Source organism: Homo sapiens, chromosome 13 (genome assembly GCF_000001405.40).
Source record: "Homo sapiens chromosome 13, GRCh38.p14 Primary Assembly".
NCBI classification, from domain to species: domain Eukaryota; kingdom Metazoa; phylum Chordata; class Mammalia; order Primates; family Hominidae; genus Homo; species Homo sapiens.
Window position 1 is genome coordinate 24,222,304 of NC_000013.11, and position 21,415 is coordinate 24,243,718.

Consider the following 21,415-nt stretch of genomic DNA (forward strand, 5'->3'; position numbering starts at 1 on the left):
AGGAGGCAGCTGCCAGCATGTGGGGCTCCATCTCTGCTCCTCATGCTTATTCCTGCGTGTGCCAGCACTTGGTTTGAGTATTCGGTATGTTGGATTCAACACAGGCTGCCATTTTAATGTCATGCTTTTGAAATCGTTGTGAGGTTTTCTTTTGGTATTTCCTAATTATTTTTTTTTCCATTTCAAATAAGAAGAAAAGATAGTGTTGAATGATACCTAGATATTTTCATTCCAGCGGTTTTTTTCCTAGTCTCACCTACACAGGTTCCAGTGAGCTCAGGAGTTTACCTTCATGTCCGTGGCACAGCCCATAATTACCCTTCTCTGTCCAGGGATGTATATTTGCATCTTTCCTTCAACTTATGAAGTGAATGGAGGGGAAATGTACAGTTTTAATTGAGTTTGAAGTAGCTTTCATCTGACCAGCCCTGTGCTGGAGCGTGCCTCTTCTTCTGTGAGCAGAGGGGCTACTGCGTGGGAAATGGCTAAACCGCCTGCTTTGTCTTTCACTGCAGCCCGTGGCCACCCAGGAGCCCGATGTGCAAGGCAGGTGTGAGTGCCAGGACGGCATTCCTGGAGATGAAGGCCTGGAGCTGCGGTCTGCGGACTCGGCAGTGCCCGTGGCCATGACCCAGGCTGCCGTGCGGCCCTGGGCACCCTGCCTGGAGAACATGACCACTGCCCCAAACGGCCTCGGGCCAGGCCCCGCAGCCCCCTGTGCAGGCTCGGACCTGAAAGACGCCAAGATGGTGACCTCCCTTGCGTGTGGAAATGGAGTCTGTGGCTGCAGCCCTGGTGGCGACACGGACACCCAGGAAGCCAAACTCAGCCCAGCCAAGCTTGTGCGCCTCTTTTCCACCAGTCGGAAGAGGACGGGTGCCCACCCCGAGCGGCCCCACTCCATGGTCCTGGTGGGGAACTCCTCCACATGGAACACCCTCGCCTCCTTCCGGAAAATGGGATCCTTTAAGAAACTGAAGTCCTCAGTCCTGAAAGGAATTCAGAGCCGAGAGGGGTCAAATGCCTGTTCAAAGGGAGAGGCTTCGGAGCATGGCCTGGGAAAGTCCATCCCAAATGGCGCTGTCCCAGGAGCCCAGGCAAGCAGGGGCTCCCCCTTAGCACCGGGACCAGCATGTGGTGCCCTCAGGCCAGCAGAGTGGGGCACATTGGATGGCTCCGACCTCGAGGACACGGACGATGCCTTCCAGCGGAGCACACACCGCTCCCGCAGCCTCCGCAGAGCCTACGGCCTGGGCCGCATCTGCCTGCTGGATGCGCCCCAGAACCATGCGACACCCACGATAGCCACTGGCCAGGTGCCCGCCGTGTGTGAGATTCTCGTGAGGGACCCTGAAAACAACAGCATGGGCTACAGGAGGAGCAAGAGCACGGACAATCTTGCCTTTCTGAAGAAGAGCTCCTTTAAGCGGAAGTCCACCTCCAATCTTGCAGACCTCAGGACGGCCCATGACGCACGGGTACCACAGAGGACCCTGAGCAGTTCCTCCACTGACTCCCAAAAGCTTGGGTCAGGAAGGACCAAACGCTGGAGGAGCCCGATAAGGGCCAAGGACTTTGACAGAGTCTTCAAACTTGTGAGCAATGTGACTGAGGCTGCCTGGAGGAGGGAGAGTCCTAGGAGTGGGGCCCCATCCCCTGGAGAGGCCAGCCTGAGACTTCAGGCACACAGCCGGCTGCATGACGACTACTCCCGCCGCGTCTCCAGGAGCACTGAGCAGGACAGCAGGCGGGGCGGGGCGGTCATGCATGGGACCACTGCAACCTGCACCGTGGCCCCCGGTTTCGGCTCAGCCACCTCTAAGGGGCCCCACCTAGACGCTGACACTGCCGTATTTCCTCTTGAAACCAAAAGTTCCTGGGCGGTGGAAAGCGACAGTTCCTGCACTTGCAGCTCTTTGCCAAGCCCGATTGTCCAGGATGTGTTGAGCAAAGACTCCTGTGACCCAAACGCTGGCAGCCAGTTGACATTTGACCCTGAGCAGCCTCCCACCCCTCTAAGGCCCACCACACCCAAGCCCCAGAGCCCTCAGAGCCCCCAGAGCCCCGGGGCAGGAAGTGCCAGCTGTCACAGCAATCACAGTGCCCTGTCCGCGAATTCAGAGGAAAGTGAAGGAAGGGCAGAAGAGCCTGCTCAGAGAGAGCCAGGGCCTGTGTCCTTGCAGGATCCCCTGGAAGCCACACATGGTGATGAGGGCAGCAAGGACCTTCTGGTGAACATTGGTGTGGCAGCCGGCCCAGAAGAAAAGGAGAAGGAGGAGGTAAGGGCAGCGGCGAGGTCCCTCATGTGGGCGACCCTCCTGCGGGAAGGGAGCTTGCACAGGTGTTGCCCTTGGTCCCTAACCTGTCAAGGTCAGTGGCCCTCTGCTGACCTTGTTGCCCTTACAGTATTAGTGGGAATGGGAGTTGTCAAGTTGCTGTTTACCAAGTTCAGAAGTAATCTCTATCTCCTTTGAAATAAATTGACAATGTACGAGATTCATTGAGATGACATTTGCCACACCTTTCATTCAAAAGATGTTTATTGAACATGTACCAGGTACTAGATTCTGGGGGAAAAAAATAAGTTGTAAACAAACTGTCTTCTGCTCCATGCAGCTCTGACTCATATCTTTCTTCTTTGTATTTTAAGCTGTTTCTGTAACCTTTCCCACAAAGTACATATAAGTGAAATTCTTTCTGTTAAGAGACTATTACCTGTCCTAATGTCACAGCACCTGTGGGTGTCACTTGACCAGCTGGAAACCTCTGTGGGCTGGCAGTGCCTCTGCTTGAGTTTTGCTCGTGCCCACTAGCCTCGTTCCACCCATTCTGCCCAGCAGGCTGCATTCGGCTTGCACTGCCAGCCCAGATCCCATGCCTGCCAAGGGCAAACCAGGAATGGAGCAGCGAGGGGTGTGTGAGTGAGTGAGCATGGAGTCCAGCCTCTGCACACAGCCAGGCATGTCAGCTGTTGCAGCAGGGCAGGCAGCTCCAGGTGCCGGCACAGGTGCTGGCTCCATGCAAGGCTGTGGCTGGACCAGATGCACTGTAGCTGGCTTCCGCTGCAGGCACCAGCGTGTGGACGAGGGGAACGTGGTGACGAGTGAAAGCTCAGAGATACCAGGAATCACAGAGCCCCAAAGAGGGTGTTACGGCCTGTCACAGCCTGGTTCTCATCTGGGCTCCCAGAAGGGCCACAGCTCTCTTCTTCTCATCACCTGCATTACAGCAAGCAGGGGGGCTTGTTTCTGGGAGTATGTTTCACCCCATTTGTGTTATATCTCCTTCAGTCCCACTGCCCCACTCCAGCATGCAGCTCTTGGGCTGGTCTAGCCCCACCACTGCTTCCTGTTGCATGTTGCAGCTGCCTGGTGCTGGTGGAAATTGGGAGGGTTATAGTGTTACAACTTTAGTTGAGGGAATCCCAAGGTTTGGGCCCCCAGAAGGGTTGCCACTCTTCACGCCTGCAGTCCAGGGGCATGTCACTGTCTGTAGCTCGGTGAGCTGGCCAGGAATTTGTTGCAGCCCCTTTAACTCCCACCTGCAGCTGGGCGAGCCATCCGGGAAAGTGTTACAGCTCCTTTCGCTCCCACCATTGGGCAGGTTCCACATCCAGGAAAAATGAAGTTACGTGGACAAACGGAGGGTGAGCAAGGCTGAGAAGAGCTTTATTGGGTGACTGAACAACTCTCAGCCCATAGGAGACCTGGAATGTGTTGCTCCTCTCTGCAGGCAGGTAGTCCCAATGAGTGGCGGAGTCTGGGGGTTTTTATAGGCTCAGAATGGAGGAAGTGCATGCTGATTGGTCCATGGGCAGGCCTGGAAAAAGCACCATTTGATTGGTTGAAAGGCATCAAGGAAGTTCTCACTCCAGGTCGCTGACTTCACACGAAATTGGCATCTGTGCCCTGAGGCTTCAGGCTGTCCCTGGCTTGAAGGTGGGGTTTCACTGCGGACCCGCCCCTTCCCACCTAGGTACCTGTCCACCTCCCACCACCATCACTAAGTCTGTTTAATTTCCTAGGAATGAATTAGGAACATGCAGTTTGGTACCTGTCGGCCTTTGAATGATGCTTGTTTAAAGAGATTTTTATGATGGGTTATTGTACTTATTTTAGAGTAGATCATAAGCACCTCATTAATTGACTAAGCTAATAGCTGTCAAGGTTACAACAGCAGTTTTTTTCATATTCTATCAAACATCTTTATAATTTTCACTTTATAAACACTGAGTAATATTACCTTACATAGCTGGAAGATGGGGAAATGCATTCATGTGTATATATTGCAGATTATTCTTCACATACATTTCTAGATTGATTTGCAGGTATAGATGGTGCTTGCCATAGAGAATAATCCCCTAGCAAATGCTCCTTCCCACCCATCCCTGGGGAGGACCTCAGTTTTGTCTTAGCACCTACAGATGAATGATTGCACAGCAAGTTTGCAGACTCAGAAGCCAGGACAGCCTCTGCACTGTCCATCTTGACCTTTGCTGTACAGACAGACCTGGTTAGTAGAACCTTTGTAGAAAGACCTAGAAAGTAGGACTATCGCAGAGTACTTTCAGATTGAGATTAGTCTCAAGGTCCCCTGGGCAGCCAGAGAAGTGAGACTGCATATTGTCTGTTACCTGAGGTTCCCGTGGAGAGCTCACCAGTTTGAGAGGTCTTGACTATTGAGAACCGTCTGCTCATTTGCATATTTGAGCCTGTGGAGCAGTTGTAAGGACACAGGAGTAGTTACCAGACTTAGGAAGGAGTTCCAGTTCTGTTGGCTCCTGTTTGTACAACTGACCAAACTTCACTAATTCCTGGGTGAGATGAAGGATGAAGGGTAACATTCCTTCCACTAAACACCCTACCTGCGCCACTCGTAGTTTGTAACCTCCCCTCCCTAAAAAAGGATTTGTATATGTCTGGAGGGTTTTTTTATGTTAAAGATTGGATTTTATTTTCTGCTTAACAGAATTATTTTTTTAAAAATCATTGAAATATTTTATTCCTGAGAACCTGTTAAGTGAATATATATGAACTAGTGTGTAGTTATTTGCCAGGGTGATTTTGACCATTTTATGGTTTTATATGTATATTTGCTATTGTTAGTTATATCAAATTTAATTTCTACCCACAAAAGATCACCAAAGATAGAAAGCAGAACAACAATTATATTGAAATTCAGTTTATTAAAGGTGCGTGCACATGTTGATAATTCTACGAATTTGCCTCCAGATATTCATCACATTTTTCAGTTGCAGTCATTTCTTCAAAATTCTTTTTTTTTTATTGAGACAGTCTCATTCAGTTACCCAGGCTGGAATGCAGTGGTGCGATCTTGGCTCACTGCAACCTTTGCCTCACAAGTTTAAGCAGTTCTCATGTCTCAGCCTCCCAAGTAGCTGAGATTACAAGCGTGTACTAACATGCCAGCTTAATTTTTGTATTTTTAGTAGAGACAGGGTTTTGCCGTGTTGGTCAGGTGGTCTCAAACTCCTGGCCTCAAGTGATTCGCCTACCTCAGCCTTCCAAAGTGCTAGGATTATAGGTGTGAGCCACCACGCCCGGCCTCAGAATTCTTATATAGCACATCAGGCTTCCTCTTGTACTTTTGTTTTCTTGAGATGGAATTTCACTCACTCTGTCACCAGGCTGGAGTGCAATGGTGCATCCCAGCTCACTGCAACCTCTATCTCCCGGGTTCAAGCGATTCTTCCGCCTCAGCCTCCCGATTAGCTAGGATTACAGGCACCTGCCAGCATGCCCAGCTAATTTTTTGTAAAAATAGGGTTTCTCCCCTCTTGTACTCTTTTTTTTTTTTTTTTTTTTTTTGAGACGGAGTCTAACTGTGTCGCCTAGGCTGGAGTGCAGTGGCGTAATCTCGGCTCACTGCAAGCTCCACCTCCCGGGTTCACGCCATTCTCCTGCCTCAGCCTCCTGAGTAGCTGGGACTACAGGCACCTGCCACCATGCCCGGCTCATGTTTTCTATTTTTTTAGTAGAGACGGAGTTTTACCATGTTAGCCAGGATGGTGTCGATCTCCTGACCTCGTGATCTGCCTGCCTCAGCTTCCCAAAGTGCTGGGATTACAGGCGTGAGCCACCGCGCCGAGCCTGTACTCTTAACATATATGTCAAAAAGAGAAAATATAGTTATGGCTTTACCCATAACTTATACATTGCATCTTATACACTGGGAATGTTCGGTGTTACTTGTAGAGAAGTGCTTGTGAAGTAGAACCTGAAACCTTTTTTATTTTGGCTTTGGGAAACAAAATACAAACTAAGGGAAACAAACAGGAAAAGGGTGACACGCAAGGATTCCAGCCTTCATGAGTTAAAAGCAATTTTTGTCTATTTTGTAGCATTACAAAATTAAATTTCAGTCTTTACTATTTTTCAATATACAGTTTTTTTATTCAGCTCATTAACAGTAAGGTTCTACTTACAGGATTAAAGCAAATTTAAACTTATTGTTGAATATGAAAAGTTGTAATCAACATATATTATGGTGTTATTTAAAATAAATATTATAATGTACTTTCAATAGGGAGAATAATTTTTATTTAGAATCACTTATTTATATCATACTGTCCTAAAAATAACAAAATAATCGTTGAAAAATTTTAAGCAGTCTAACAAGATTGTGTATTGCTGTGAAAAAGAGCTGGGAAAATGTCCTGCCGCTTTAATTTACAAAGCATGCCATGCTCCTGCCACCTAGTGGTAAGCTTTAAGAGCAGTGGTTTGTTGAACAAGTACTTAAGCTTGTGACCTGTTTTAAGTTACAGGTTGCATTTACTTGTTGACAGTGCTGTCTGTTGCCTTATGGAGGTGTTGCCTAGGAGTCTGGAGCATTCATGCTGCTTCTCCTACCAGCTCACAAGGAGAAACCCCCTCTTTAGTGAGTGGAAACTCAGGCAGCAGAGTCAGTGGTTCAGGTAGTGCTAAATATGCCATGGAAAAAACTCTTAAATGATGACAACCAATTGGACCCCTCTCCAGGGAGCTATGGTAAGCTGCAGTCTCTTGGCACATGTTTCTAGTTGAGTTGGGACCCTGGCTCTATTATTAAAAGATCCCTGGCAACCGGGGCAAACTGTTGAACTTCTCCTGCCGTGGGTCTTCTCAAGGGTAGGATATGGAGTAACTTCATCTGCCCCTGGGGATGGTAAGAGCCAGTGAAATTATGGATGTCAAACACTTAGCCCGCCCTTTGACACTGACTGCCCACTGTGTGGTTATCACTGTTTAGATGATTTTTCCATCCTAGATTGACATGGCTTTTTAAGACAGGGACGTTAAGGTCGGTTCTTTCCAGAACTCTTTTTCAATATAACACTGTTACAGTCTTACAGGGGATGGAGAAGTTCTTCAAACAGTTAGTTTGACATCATGCTACTTAAAAAAAAAGCATAAGAGTTAAGTTCCTGCATAATCCAACATTTATATTTTCATGAAACCATGTCCCCAACCAAATTTGTTGAACACATGTCAGATACAAGAGACCAGTTAGGTATGACTCTATAGGGAATGTGGTGATGCCAATGAAGTTGTACCTGTGCCCAGATACACTTAAAACATAGGAGAACTTGATGGATTCAATTCCATAAAAGTGGTAAAAGCAAAATGCTATGGGTTTCAGAGGACTTGCAGTTCTCACCCATGTACCAAATCAAGGAAGGCTTCATAAGGGTGACTGAATCTGATTTGAAGAAGGAGGATTTCTACAGATGGTTATGGAGAGGACAGGGGCATTTCAGTGAGGTGTAGAGTAGGTTGGGCATGTGTGCAGAGATATTCTGTGATTGGAGAGAACAGGAAGTAATGTAATTTGGTTTGATATAGAGGAATAATCCAAGTTAAGATGGAATCATTAAGCAGAAGTCAAACAGTGCATAAGGAATTGTCATGTACCTCACCACTCAACACCTGCTATGTGAACAGAAGGGGTTGAAACAAAAAGAAGCTGTCTGTACTCTCATGGGTTCAGAGCCTAGCTGGTGAGAGGAATGTGTGCAGGTCATTATGATGTAGTGGTAAGGGCTCCTCATGAGAATGCAGTAAGTGCCGCAGGAGCCCCAAAGGCGGCAGAATGAAGAACTCTGGCTGGAAAGTGGCAGAATTGGGGAGGGACAGTGGAGTGGGGTCTTTAGTGCCCCGGGCGGCGGTTGCAGAAGGGCACTGGACTTCCAGGCTGGCGGGAAGAGTGTAGAACAGGAGGCAGATGCCCACATCTGAGCTCAGCTCTGCTGCTTACCAGTTCTCGACCTTTGCTAAACCTCATTTTCCTTGCCTGTAAACTGTGGGTGATAAGTGTCCCGACCACATAGGATCGTTGTGCAGATTAGCTGAGGTGATGTGTGGACTTAACATGGGGCTTTGTATATAAGTTTCTAGCAAAGTGATGCATCTATTGTGCTCAGGGAGCTGCAGACGGCTTGCAGAACTTCTGTACAGGGTGGCTGGGTGGAGAGGAGGGAGATCAGGTTAAGCAGTTAGGTCTGGACATCATTAGGAAGGGCCTCGCTTACAGCTGTGAATTTGGACTTTACTCTGTAAGTGGTGGAAAGTCAGTGACATTGTCAGGGCAGGGACTCAGAGGGACATTCCGTGGCTGGGGTTGATCAGACCAGCTCTGTAGAGAGGTCTAATTTGCATAACATCAACTCACCGGTTGTAGGTATGCAGTTTGATGATTTTTGGGAAATGTAGTGTGTGCAGCCACTACCACCGTCCAGCTAAAGAACACTTGGCTCCCCCCAGAAGGCTTCCCCACGCCTTTTACCAATCCCTGTTCCCACCCAAGACTAGGCCACAGCTGATGGGCTTTGTGTCTACACCTTTTATTAAGCGAACAATTCAGTGATTTTTATATGTTTATGGAGCTCTGCAGCCATCACCACAGACTAATTTTAGCACGTTTTCACCACCCCAGAAAGAAGCCTCGCGCCATTTGCAGTCACTTTCTGTTCCTAGCCCCAGCCTCAGAGCTATTTTTTGTGTCTATTATTTTACTTTTCTGGACATTTCATAGAAATGGAATCCTGTAATACGTGGTCTTTTGTGACTGGCTTCTTTCACTGAGCAAAACCTTGTTTTCAAGGTTTGTCCATAGAGCATGATCAGTGCTTCCTTCCTTGTTAAGGCTGCGTAATATTTCAGTGCATGGCTATCTATACCGCACTTTGTTATCTGTTCATCTGTTGATGGAGATGGGTTGTTTCTGCCTTTTTGCTATTATGAGTAATGCTGCTATGAATACTTACATACAAGTCCTTGGGTGGAAATATGCTTCCTTTCTCTTGGGTGGATACCTAGGGGTGGAATTGCTAGGTCTTGTGACATTTCTATGTTTAATTATTCGAGGAGCTGCCAAGCTGCTTTCCAAAATGGCTGTACCATTTTAGATTCTCACCAGCATTGTATAAGGGTTCCAATTTCTCCTCATCCTTGCCAGGACTTGGTATTGTCAGTATTCTGGACTCTAGCTATTCCAGCGGGTGTAGAGTGGTATTTCATTTTGGCTTTAATTAGTATTTCCCTAATGACTAATGATGTTGAACGTCGTTTCATGTGGTTATTAGCCATTCAAGTGATCTGATTTAGTGAAGTGCCGATTCAGATCTTTTGCTCATCATTTCATTGCATTCTTTGTCATCCTTTTATTGAGCAGTTAAGGTTTCTTTATATTTCCTGGCCACCTGTCCTTTATCAGATAATATGATTATTCAGGGTTCTCCAGAGGACGAGAACCAATAGGATACATATGAAAATCGGCTGGTGTGATTAAGGCCAAGTACCAAGATCTGCCATCTGCAGCCTGGAGAACCAGGAAGCCAGATGTGTAGTTCAGCGTGAGCCTGGAAGCCTGAGGACAAGGTGATGGGGTGGAGTGCTGGTGTAAGTCATGGAGTCCGAAGGCCCAAGAACCAGGAGCTTCAGTGTTCCTGGGCAGGAGAAGGTGGATGTCTGCCAGGAGAGGAGGGGAATCCTGGACTTTTGTCCTATTTGACACCTCAAGGGATTGCAGATGCCTGCCCACATCCTTGAGGGCAAGTCTTCTTTACTTTACTGATTACTGATTCCAATGCCAGTCTTTTCTGGAAACACCCTCACAAACGCACCCAGAAATAATGCTTTATCAGCCTTCTGGGGATTCTTTCACCCAATCAAGTTGACACATCAAATTAATAGGAATTACAAATATTTTCTCACAGTCTGGCTTGTCTTTTAAATTTTTTAATATTTTTCTTTTTTGAGACAGGGTCTCACTCTCTTGCCCAGGCTGGAGTACAATGGTGCAATCACAGCTTACTGCAGCCTCAACCTCCCAAGGTCAAGCAATCCTCCTGCCTCAGCACCACCCCCACCCAGTAGCTGGGACTACAGACACACAGCACCACACCTGGTTACTTTTTGTATTTTTTGTAGAGGTGGGGTTTTGCCATGCTCCCCAGGCTGGTCTCGAGCTCCTGAGCTCAAGTGGTCTGCCTGCCTCGGCCTCCCGGAGTGCTGAGATTACAGGCATGAGCCACCACTCTCAGCCCAGTTTTATAATATTTTTTAAAGAGTCAAAATTCTTAGTTTTGATGAAAATACAGTTACCAAATTTTTGTAGTTTTCTGTAGATCTGAGAACTCTAAGATTACAAAGATTTTCTTCTGTGTTATTTTCTGGAAGTTTTATCATTTTAGCTCTTACATTTAGGTATATGCCCCATGTTTAGTTGTTTTTGTGTGTAATATGAAGGTTCATTTTTTAATATATGAACATCTGTTTATCCAGCCTCCATTTATTCAGCCGCCTATGGTTTTTGTACTGCAGAGAATGTAAGTTTCCATATTCCTCTGGGTTCTCATTCATTTTTTTTCTGACAAAAACATTACAGAATTTGAATCACAAAAATTAGAGTTAGAAAGATAATTTTTAAATATAATATTATGTGTGCTTTCAAAAAATGTTTTTCTAATGAATTGAACATGTTGTTGCAGGGACATTTGCCCTGATATGACAGTTAGTGTTTTATGATATTTCCTAAATAGTATGCTTGGGGTAGACATGCAACAGATATCTTCTCTTACAGAGGGCTTTTTAATGTGATCTGAAGAGAATTAATGTGCCTTCTATGAGTCATCTTTGTGCTAGTTTATGTTCAGTTTCTCCTAGAATGTTTTTAGCTTGTTTTTGTTTCTTTTCCTTTTGCTGGAGAAAAATGTGAAAAAGGATCTATTCCAGAAATACTAAATCATAGAAATTCACATCATGAGTCTAAATGTGAAAGTAGCTTTTTACTTTAACAATGGAATCATTTTCTAAGTCAGTTTAAAAAAAAAAGTTTCCATTTGCTCTGAAAAGGTTTATGCTCATTATTACCTAATTCTTTTTCAACGGAAAGTTTCAAAGTATTTCTGAAAGGGTGCTCAACATTTGAGTCAGGCATTTCAGTACAGACTAGTTAAACCGGCAAATTATGTACTTGTGAAGTTCTAGCCAGAGTGAGGACCCCCTGGGATGCAAGCCAAAGCTGCGGAATCCCGAGTCTCCTCCAGCACTGCTGACAGGCTACAGAACTTTATACACTTAAACACACACACACACACACACACACACACACACACACACACACTGATAAGATTATTTCTACAAATGCAGAATCTAAATAAAATTATCGTATACCTGTAGTTTTGAACTTTCCAGTGGCTCATTTCTAGAATAGTTTCTCTAGTGAGATACCATTAAATAGGATTTTCTCATTAAAAATAAGGGGGGAGGTAGATGGAATCATACCCCTATACCTGCACAAGAGACTAAATGCCAACTCTTATAGAAATTACCACAGTAACCATTTGTAATCAACTTGTCATGATGTACTGCATCTTATTAATGCTATGCATGTTAAGCTTCCTGAAGTTTAAGAAATGATAGGAAGCAATATCATAATATATTCTTCAGTGTTTTCTTATTTTATCTTAATTAGCACCTCATTTTAATTTGTGGATAGGAGGGCATAATTAGACCTTAGTGAAGTACTAAATACAGAAAGGTACACTTCCATATTCTTCAGAGGGGGAATTTTAGCTTGATGACTAAGAAACTGATTTCAGTATACGTTTTTCTCCTCTTCTATATTTCTCTTCTTGAACTTCTCTATAACAATTAAGATCAAAGGCCACCCAGGGTGGAATTGCTTTCAACCCGGCTTGGTGACACCGATTGATTTGGCTGTGTCTGCCATGATGGTGATGATTAGAAGGAATGCCGTACGTTTTGTTGGTGGGGGCCAGAGTACACATTGCCAGAAGTCACTATATAAATAACATTACCTGTTTCTTCTACTTCTGACAGTCTGGGGACAAAACCACCACTTGCAGTGCTCTGGGGCAGACTTCAGGGAGTCAACTGGTGCAGGAATAGAGAGAGGGGCCCTGTGGATTGGAGAGGATATAGCACTCACAGCTGCTTGCTGCCCTGCACTGATCTAGTAACTTTCTAGGATACCAGGATCCATATGGCTGCCAGCCAGCCATTCCCAATTTGAGTGGTCAGGAAGCTGGATGGTGTAAGGTAGTTGGGCCTTGTTCTGCTGAGTTCTGTCCTAGTTTTATTGCTAACTAGCAGTATGTTCTTAAGAAAGACACTTGACCTACTTAAGCCTCAACTTCTTAAAAAATTGGGATTATAGTACTGCCTGAATTAAATGAAATAATGCATGTATGGTACTTACCACAGTGCCTTGGAACATGGTAAATCGGGTTAATAGTAGCTTTTATAACAGAAATCATTGTTATGATTGAAATTATTTCCTTTGGTCAAACATTTCAGTACAGACCAGTTAAACTTTGCAAATTATGTACTTCTAAGTTATAGCCGGAGCAAAGACCTCGCCCTGAGTTACAAACCAAAGCTACAGATTCCTGAACCTCACCCAAAGCTACTGAATTAGAGTCCCTGAGGTTTAGACCCAGAAATTTGGACTATCAGCAATCAACTCGGGAAAATGACTTTTGTCAATGCAAACTTTGAGATTCGCTGTCCAGGCTGAGGCTCCTCTAGGTATAAAGTGTCCTGTACTTCTCCAGAATAGAGTGATTGAAGCCAGGGAGGCATGCCGGAAAGAGAGAAAGATTGCTTGTAAAAACTTTTCAAGCAAGAAATGGTGTGATAAAGAATTGGTCTGGCTGACGTGGTGGCTCATGCCTATAATCCCAGCACTTTGGGAGGTCAAGGCTGGAGGACCACTTGAGCTCAGGAGCTCGAGACCAGCCTGGACAGCATAGTGAGACCTTGTCTCTTAAAAAAAAATAAAAAGCCAGGTGTGGTGGTGCAAGCCTGTGGCCCCAGCTACTTAGGAAGCCAAGGTGGGAGGATTGCTGGAGCCTAGGAGATCGAGGCCACAGTGAGTTATGATTGCACCACTTCACTTCAGCCTGGCTGACAGAGTGAAACCCTGTCTTAAATAAAATAAAGAATTTGGTCTAAAATATGTTGAGCAGTGTAAGTCTAGCAATTGCTCCATCCACTACTGAGAACTAGAATTTTTACCAACTCATTTGGGATTTTAAAAAAGTAACTGTTTCTTGAAAATAAGAATATAAATAATAACAGCTCAAATTGATATGCCTTTTCAGTGGATGAAGTTCCATCATGCAACACTGTTGCATTCAGTTTTCACAGCCACTTGTGACATAGGTGATTTTTGTATTTGCTTTAACAGATGAGTAAACTGAGGCTTGGAAAAGTTCAAGGACTGTCACATAAGTAGTGAGGGGTGGGGTCGGGCCTGCAGCTGGGTTTCCAAATGGGGAAGGAGGCCTAGAATCAGCATCTGCTTTGGGATGTGGCTTGCAGACATGCTCACCATTTATTAGCCTCCTCATCTCTTGAGGAATCACTTAATCTTTCTTATCTGTAAAGTAGAATTAAATGCATCTACTTCAGAGAGTTTTTAAATTAAATGACATAAATGATATCTTCAACAACAACAAAAAACACAGCCCCATTTAAAAAATGGGCAGAGGACTTGAATAGACATTTCTCTAAAGAAGATATGCAGGTGAGCGGGTGGATCACCTGAGGTCAAGAGTTTGAGACCAGCCTGGACAACATGGTGAAACCTTGTCTCTACTAAAAATATAAAAAAAAATTAGCTGGGCGTGGTGGCACGCACCTGTAGTCCCAGCTACTCGGGGAGGCTGAGGCAGGAGAATCACTTGAACCCAGGCGGCGGAGGTTGCAGTGAGCCAATATTGCGCCACTGCACTCCAGCCTGGGTGACAGAGGGAGACTCCATCTCAAAAAAAAAAAAAAAAAAAGATATGCAAATGATAAAGTATATGAAAACATCTTCAGTGTCACTAATCATTAGGGAAATGCAAATTAAAACCATGGTGAGATACTACTTCACACCCATTAGAATGGCTACTATAAAAAAAATAACAAGTGTTCACAAAGATAGGGAGACATTGGAACCCTTGTGCATTGCTGGTGGGAAAATAAAATGATGGTACGGCTGCTGTGAAAAACAGTGTGCTGATTCCTCCAAAGTTAAACATAGAATTACTGTATGATCCAGCAATTCCGTTTCTGGGTATATGTCCAAAAGAATTGAAAACAGGACTCAAACAGGTATTTAGACACCCATGTTCATAGCAGCACTATTCATAAGAGGCAAAAGAAGGAAACAACCCAAGTGTCTGTTGATGGACAAATGGATAAAAAGTATAGTGTGTACATATACTGCGGAATATTATTTATGCCTTAACAAACATGCTGCAGGCTGGGCGCAGGGCTCACGTCTGTAATCCCAGCACTTTCTGAGGCCGAGGTGGGTGAATCATGAGGTCAGGAGTTCGAGACCAGCCTGGCCAACATGGTGAAACCCCATCTCTACTAAAAATACAAAAAATTAGTTGGGCATAATGGTGGGTGCCTGTAGTCCCAGCTACTCAGGAGGTGGAGGCTGAGGCAGGAGAATCTCTTGAACCCAGGGGGTGGAGGTTGCAGTGAGCCGAGATTGCACCACTGCACTCCAATGCTGGCGGCAGAGTCAGATTCCATCTTAAAACAAAACAAAACAAAAAAAACATGCTGCAGCATGGCTGAACCTTGAGGACATTGTGCTAAGTGAAATCAGCCAGTTACAAAAGAATAAATACTGTATGATTCCACTCACATGAGATCCGTAGAGTAGTCAAATTCATAGAGACAGAAAGTAGAGTAGTCATTGCCAGGGGCTGTGGGGGAAGAGAGTATTTAATGGGTTCAGAGATACATTTGGGAGAGATGAAAAAGTTCTGAAGATGGATGGTGGTGATAATTACATAACAGTGTGAATGTACTTAATCCCACTGACTCATACACCTAAAAATAATTAAAATGGAGGTGGGTGCAGTGGCACATACCTGTAATCTCAAGCTACTCAGGAAGCCAAGATGGGAAGATCACTTGAGGCCAAGAGTCTGAGACCAGCCTGGGCAACATAACCAGACCCCATCTTATAAATTTTAAAAAGTAGTCAAAGTAGTAGACATTATATATGTATATATAAAATATATCACATATATTATATAATATATATCATTTATAATATATAAACATACATGTTTAAATATGCAATATATAAACATACATGTTTAAATATGCAATATATAAACATACATGTTTAAATATGCAATATATAAACATGTATAATATATATATATAAATATATATATTTTACCACACACACAAAATTAAGTGATGTGCTGTAGGTTAAGGGCATGTTTCAAATGCTGGTATCATGGTTGATAAATTTGCATTCCACTTTCCAGCCCAAACCAGTTCTTCTTGACTTTTTTTTTTTTTTTTTTTTTTGAGACAGACTCTTGCTCTATCTCCCAGACTCTTGCTCTGTCTCCCAGACTGGAGTGCAGTGGCATAATCTCGGCTCACTGCAGTCTTCGCCTCCCGGGTTCAAGCGATTCTTGTGCCTCAGCCTCTCAAGCAGCTGGGATTACAAGTGTGCACCACCATGCCCGGCTAATTTTTATATTTTTAGTAGGGACAGGGTTTTGCCATGTTGGCCAGGCTGGTCTCAAACTCCTGACCTCAAGTGATTCACCCATCTCGGCCTCCCAGAGTGCTGGGATTACAGGCGTGAGCCACTGCCCCCGGCCTCTCCTTGATGTTTTAGGTGGGAATGTTTTGGCTGGTTGGGATGGGCTAGTTCTGCTAAGGTGCTTCAGTCCCTTTTCTGGCCATTTGTTTTGGGAATTCACTGGGTGACACAGGAAAGAAAGCCACCTTGGACTCCAGGGTGACTCCAGGGCCAGAGCGGTGCCATGTTTAGTAGGTCAGTGCCACAGGTAGGGGACAGGCGGCTGAAGTCTTGCATACAGTTTGTGACCAGGCAAAGGATTACAGCCTCACTCCTTAATGTATATGTTTTTCACGTTTACTCACAGTGAGAATACCTTGTACATTTGGCTTTGTACTTTTACTCTTTGTGATATAAATTTTTCATCTGTAATTCTTTAACTGCCAAGTTTTGAGTTAAACCTACTGGAAATATTTGGCAGCAGAACACATTAGATTCTTGTATTCCTCAGTGAAAATAAAAAAGAAGCACTACGGGTGCTCCTTGCGATCTTGCCTTTCCTTTGTGATGGCTCCTGTGCGGGCAGTCCATGTGGCCCGAGTGTCTGTGGTGCACAGCACATCAGAGGTGGATGTTTACCTGCTCAGGGAGGCCCTGGACCTTTAGGAGTTTAAAGCAGGTGTGATACAATCATGTGTAATTAATAAAAGTATAGAAGCTTATTGTTGGCAAGGACCCATTACCTTGTTCCTCATGTATCTGAGACTAAGTAAAACACTTTCAGAATAGGATTGTTGATCATGGGGGAAGGGAAATTGCAATTATTTTGTTTGTAGAATGGCGTAGGATTTCAGGAGATGATGGAGGAAATAGGGACGGGATGGCTGACTTCCTTATCTGAAACGTGGTCACTGATTTTGAAATACTTAGTGGTCCTCTATCACTAATTTCAAAAGTTGAAAGTAAGTTTATTTACATTGTGGGATGGAGGCCAGGGACAGGAGAGTATGAAAATGTAAAGAAAGATAAACAACAGTCTGGGTATGGTGGCTCACACCTGTAATCCTAACACTTTGGGATGCTGAGGCGGGTGGATCCCTTGAACCCAGGAGTTTAAGACCAGCTTGGGCAACATGGCGAAACTCTGTCTCTGCTAAAACTAGACAAATTAGCCAGGCGTGGTGGTGTGCACCTCTAGTCCCAGCTACTTGGGAGGCTGAGGTAGGAGAATCACCTGAGCCTAGGAGGTGGAGGCTGCAGTGAGCCGAGATTTCGTCACTGCACTCCAGCCTGGGTGTCGGATAGAGACCATATCTAAAAAAAAAAAAAAAAAAAAAAAAAATAGAGAAAGCAGGTTGCTAACATATTCAGAGCTAAAATATGGTTATCACTTTTGAAATATTAAGTTCTCCTCAATCAATAAGTTTAATTTCCAAAGAGGAAAGTAAGTTCATTTTTATAAAATCATGTTTTTTCACTCATTGAAAATAATAAGTTTGAAAGTAGACCTCTATATTCTTTAGCATGTGTTTCAGAGATGAAACATGTTTTAAGATGTGGTCATTATGTGCATTTATTTCATAATATGATGACTTTAAACTGTCTCTTTACTCTTAATTAGTCCAGGCATAAAATTGCAACCTACGACCGGGTGTGGTGGCTCACGCCTGTAATCTCAGCATTTTGGGAGTCTGAAGCAGGTGGATCCCTTGAGCTCAGGAGCTCAAGACCAGCCTGGCCAACATGGCAAAACCCTGTCCCTGCTAAAAATACAAAAATTAGCCAAGCAGAAGGATCACTTGAACCCTGAAGGTTGAGGCTGCAATGAGCCGTGATTGCACCACTGCACTGCAGCCTGATGACAGAGTGAGAACCTGTCTTTAAAAAAAAAAAAAATTACAACCTACCAATTTTGTTTTCTCTACCTGGATGTCAATCTCAGTGTCGTGTTACTATTGATTTTGAGATGGCAGGATGGTCTGGATGTTTTTCTTGAGCCTAGAAAACGGAACCCCCTTGAACAATTATCATGAAGGCTAAGGGGGAAAAACCTATTAGCCTGGGAGTGTTGGTTTTGGGGTCACGGTGGTGACACGTGTCTATGATGTGAGGGAGGCAGGTGAGGTGAGGGGCACAGGACATGGTCACGGGCTGGGATGGAGTTTGTCACCGTCATGCGGAGTTCATTCCTTTTTTTAAACTGAAGAAGAGCTCAGCTACACTGATTTCTCCATCTTGTATTCTAAGACTTCACTAGTGATTACATTTTTCTGAAGTACTAGTGTTTTTATGCTCATGGAACTGGGCTAATAGTATTAAAGTAAGTGTTCTCCATGAACTTCAGTATATTTGCATTTTTAAATGAACTACCATATCAGTCTATAAAACAGGTTACATACAAGGCCATAGGGTCACCAGCTGTGTTTTTCGCATCTTTTATCATCCACGTAACACATTCAAGGACAATTGTATCTAATATCACCACCATGCTCCTCTCCTACTTCAAGGGAGATAAACATTCATTGTTTTAAAATGTTTAACAAATGACCAAACTGCTTCCTGAATCCAAGGGACAAGGCCACAGTTTTCTGGGTTATGATAGTTGCTTCTTTTTTTGTTTTTTGGAGACTCTTTAAAAATGATGTCACGATTACTGACATGCATGTCACCCCATTCCGTAGTAATTAGAAAAGGTTAGCTTAGTCACTTGTGCTTCATTTGCTGTCAGAATTCCACCAACCACTGAAGATTCTTACAGGTTAAAACCTAAGATCCTAGTAAAAAATGCAGCACATTTGTAAGAGTGTAGCCCAGAGTTATTATTTATTTTTACCTACAAGCCATAGAAAGAGTAACCCAGTAAATGATGTTTCTACTTCCAGTATTGTGCCTGGTCTGTTTCTGGCCCAGGCCCTGTCCTAAGAGCCAGGCCTGAGAAAAGAAGGGACAACTTAATGACCCTGTCTGCCCCTTCCCAAGATGGTCCCTAAAGTAGCAGAAACTGTGAGGGGTGCAGCAGAGCCATCTTGAACAGGCGCATTTGTGAGACGGCATTACTCAGCGAAACGCAGAGTGTTTTGCCATTTACTTAGTTTTGAACTGGGTCAGAGGCCATCCCTCCTGTCCTCCACTTTGCATGGGTAACGGGCTTTTATAGGAGCCCCTCCCCTCACAGTGGTTGTTCCTCAGCTTGCCTAAGTGATGCACGGAGTGATGCCTGGACAGGTGGAAAGAGCCAGGGAGTGGAGGACCAGGAAGCCCACCTGGTGGTTGGCCCCGTTTATGGGGCACCTCCCCGCGTGCCGGGATAATTCACCTCCCTTGCAACACACACACCCCATTGAGGGCTATGAAAGCAAAAGGCAGCTTTAGACAGAAAGATTATTCCACCAGGCCAGGCATGGCAGCTCACTCCTGTAATCCCAGCACTTTGAGAGGCCGAGGCGGGAGGACTGCCTGAGCCCAGGAGTTTGAGACTAGCCTGAGCAACATAGTGAGACCCCTATCTCTACAGAAAATTTAAAAATTAGCTGGACCTGATGGTGCATGCCTGTAGTCTCAGCTACTCAGGAAGCCAAGGTGGGAGGGTCACTTGAGCCTGGGAGTTCAAGGCTGCAGTGAGCACAGATCGCGCTACTTACTTCAATCTGAATGACAGAGTGAGACTGTCTCAAAAAAAAAAATGAAAAAAGAAAAGAAAGATTATTCCACCTAATTGTTGTAAAAATTAAGGATAAGAAACCAAATATGAATTTACTCCATGAAACAAAATCGACACTTGGTTCCATAGACGGCCAGTTAGGGGAAGAGGGCCTAGGCAAGGAGAGAGAGAGGAAGAGAACATTGGAGAGAGGTGAAGGTGAGGGCTGTGGGAGGAACCAACACAGAAGAGTCCAAGCCGGATGCATGCGCATGACTATGTCTACACACACATGGATGAATGGAGAAATAGCCCAGAGAAATACATAGAGCAGAAGCCAGCAGTGCAGACTGCGTGTGTGATAAGCTCATGGAGGCTTTTTGGGGAGCAGTATCAATTGCTGCCAAGGGTTTTTGCTATAACCTATAAAGCCATTTTGCATCTTTCTTACCTACTGCTATAAATGGAGGGGTCATGTCTAGTGCTGGCCTTCCAAAGATGAAATTAAAGTGTCTTAACTATCTCGCTTGCTCTTATCTTTCAGTAAATCCATTGTCTTCTCATCGTAAAATGGGGGTAATTACGTCTTCTTTGCTTCTTTGAAAATATAATTATAGTTAGATGGGAAAGCAATTTGAAAATCTAAGATTTGTAAGTGAATGTAACATGTTATTCCTTTGGCGTTAAAAATACCACCCCCTCCCACAAGAAAAAATGTCATTAAGGCTCAAACTTATCTCTTTCTGCATATGTAAATATTTCCTTGTTCCTGCTTTCAACTCCTCAAAATATGGTCATTCATCTGGGATCCTATGCGTTCCCCTCACCCACTTAAAATCCTAGGACAGATAGTTGTAACACATAAAAACAGGCCTATGCAGGGTATTTTTGGTTATGACACATTAATTTTCATTTAAGGGACATTGGGTAATGAGATATAGTTCTGGGATAGTGAGATGCTACTTTTTTGACTTCTTAAGTTGTAAGGCCTAAAATTTCATTTTTTAAGAATTGAAGCACAAGACTGATACCCTAGGATACTGTTAAGTGTTGTTATCTAACCCGGGAGTTTTAGATATTTGTGATATTGTCTGATTACAGACCTTTTTCACATTATACAATGGGTTTTTCTGATGTCTTGAAATATATTCACGTCACTCATCCATACTTCAGAATCAATACCTCACACTCATCCTCTTAATTGATATGTGACATATGTTACTACGTTACGGCTCTTTTAAATCATCTTACTTTACAGTCCTCTCTCATTTTCTTTTATGCATGTGAACATATGATTCTGGGGTCTGTAGGTTTTACCAGATTGCCCAGGGCACAGGTTACCAGAGCCTCTGATAACTGTCATTCCCTGTCCCCTCCCTCCAGCAGTTCTACATCTAAGGGAAGGAACATCTGCAAAGTTCTGTTTTCCTTCTGTAAAAGTACATGCTAAGTATGCAGGCTTTCCAGAGGAGAGGCAGAGGTTTTGAAGCCAGACAGACTGGGTTGTGAAATAGGCCCTTCCCTTTTCTGGCTCTATTAACGTGAGCAAATCATTTCATTTATTTTAGCCCTGGTGTCTTAATCAGTAAAATTCTGTGAAGAGTACCTGTCTCACAGGGTGGCTGTGAAGATTAAGCAAGGTAAAATGTGCCTGGCATAGGTCTGGCACCTCGTAGGCATTCAAAAATTGCAGTTTTCATT

The 21,415-nt window shown here is 44.3% G+C and overlaps 1 protein-coding gene across 3 annotated transcripts in view, besides 4 other annotated features; it reads left to right on the plus strand.

Annotated features, from left to right (window-relative positions):
* SPATA13 (spermatogenesis associated 13) overlaps positions 1-21,415 on the plus strand; it is a 327,268-nt gene that overhangs the window by 242,502 nt on the left and 63,351 nt on the right. For 2 of the 3 annotated variants that reach the window (NM_001286792.2, NM_001166271.3), the window contains one exon: positions 516-2,279. The exons of the other annotated variant lie outside the window; for it this stretch is intronic. In NM_001286792.2, coding sequence (NP_001273721.1) covers positions 516-2,279 — 1,764 coding nt within the window. The remainder of the gene's footprint in view (positions 1-515; positions 2,280-21,415) is intronic. 3 annotated transcript variants of the gene reach the window in all.
* Positions 956-1,812: an enhancer, noted in NCBI's record as "H3K27ac-H3K4me1 hESC enhancer chr13:24797397-24798253 (GRCh37/hg19 assembly coordinates)". NCBI's record gives its function as "activates a minimal SCP1, AML or CMV promoter by ChIP-STARR-seq in primed H9 embryonic stem cells {active_cell/tissue: H9 hESC(primed)}" and the evidence as "EXISTENCE:reporter gene assay evidence [ECO:0000049][PMID:30033119]".
* Positions 1,517-1,626: an enhancer, noted in NCBI's record as "active region_7471". NCBI's record gives its function as "activates an Ori minimal core promoter by ATAC-STARR-seq in GM12878 lymphoblastoid cells {active_cell/tissue: GM12878}" and the evidence as "EXISTENCE:reporter gene assay evidence [ECO:0000049][PMID:35858748]".
* Positions 1,827-1,896: an enhancer, noted in NCBI's record as "active region_7472". NCBI's record gives its function as "activates an Ori minimal core promoter by ATAC-STARR-seq in GM12878 lymphoblastoid cells {active_cell/tissue: GM12878}" and the evidence as "EXISTENCE:reporter gene assay evidence [ECO:0000049][PMID:35858748]".
* Positions 2,671-3,527: an enhancer, noted in NCBI's record as "H3K4me1 hESC enhancer chr13:24799112-24799968 (GRCh37/hg19 assembly coordinates)". NCBI's record gives its function as "activates a minimal SCP1, AML or CMV promoter by ChIP-STARR-seq in naive H9 embryonic stem cells {active_cell/tissue: H9 hESC(naive)}" and the evidence as "EXISTENCE:reporter gene assay evidence [ECO:0000049][PMID:30033119]".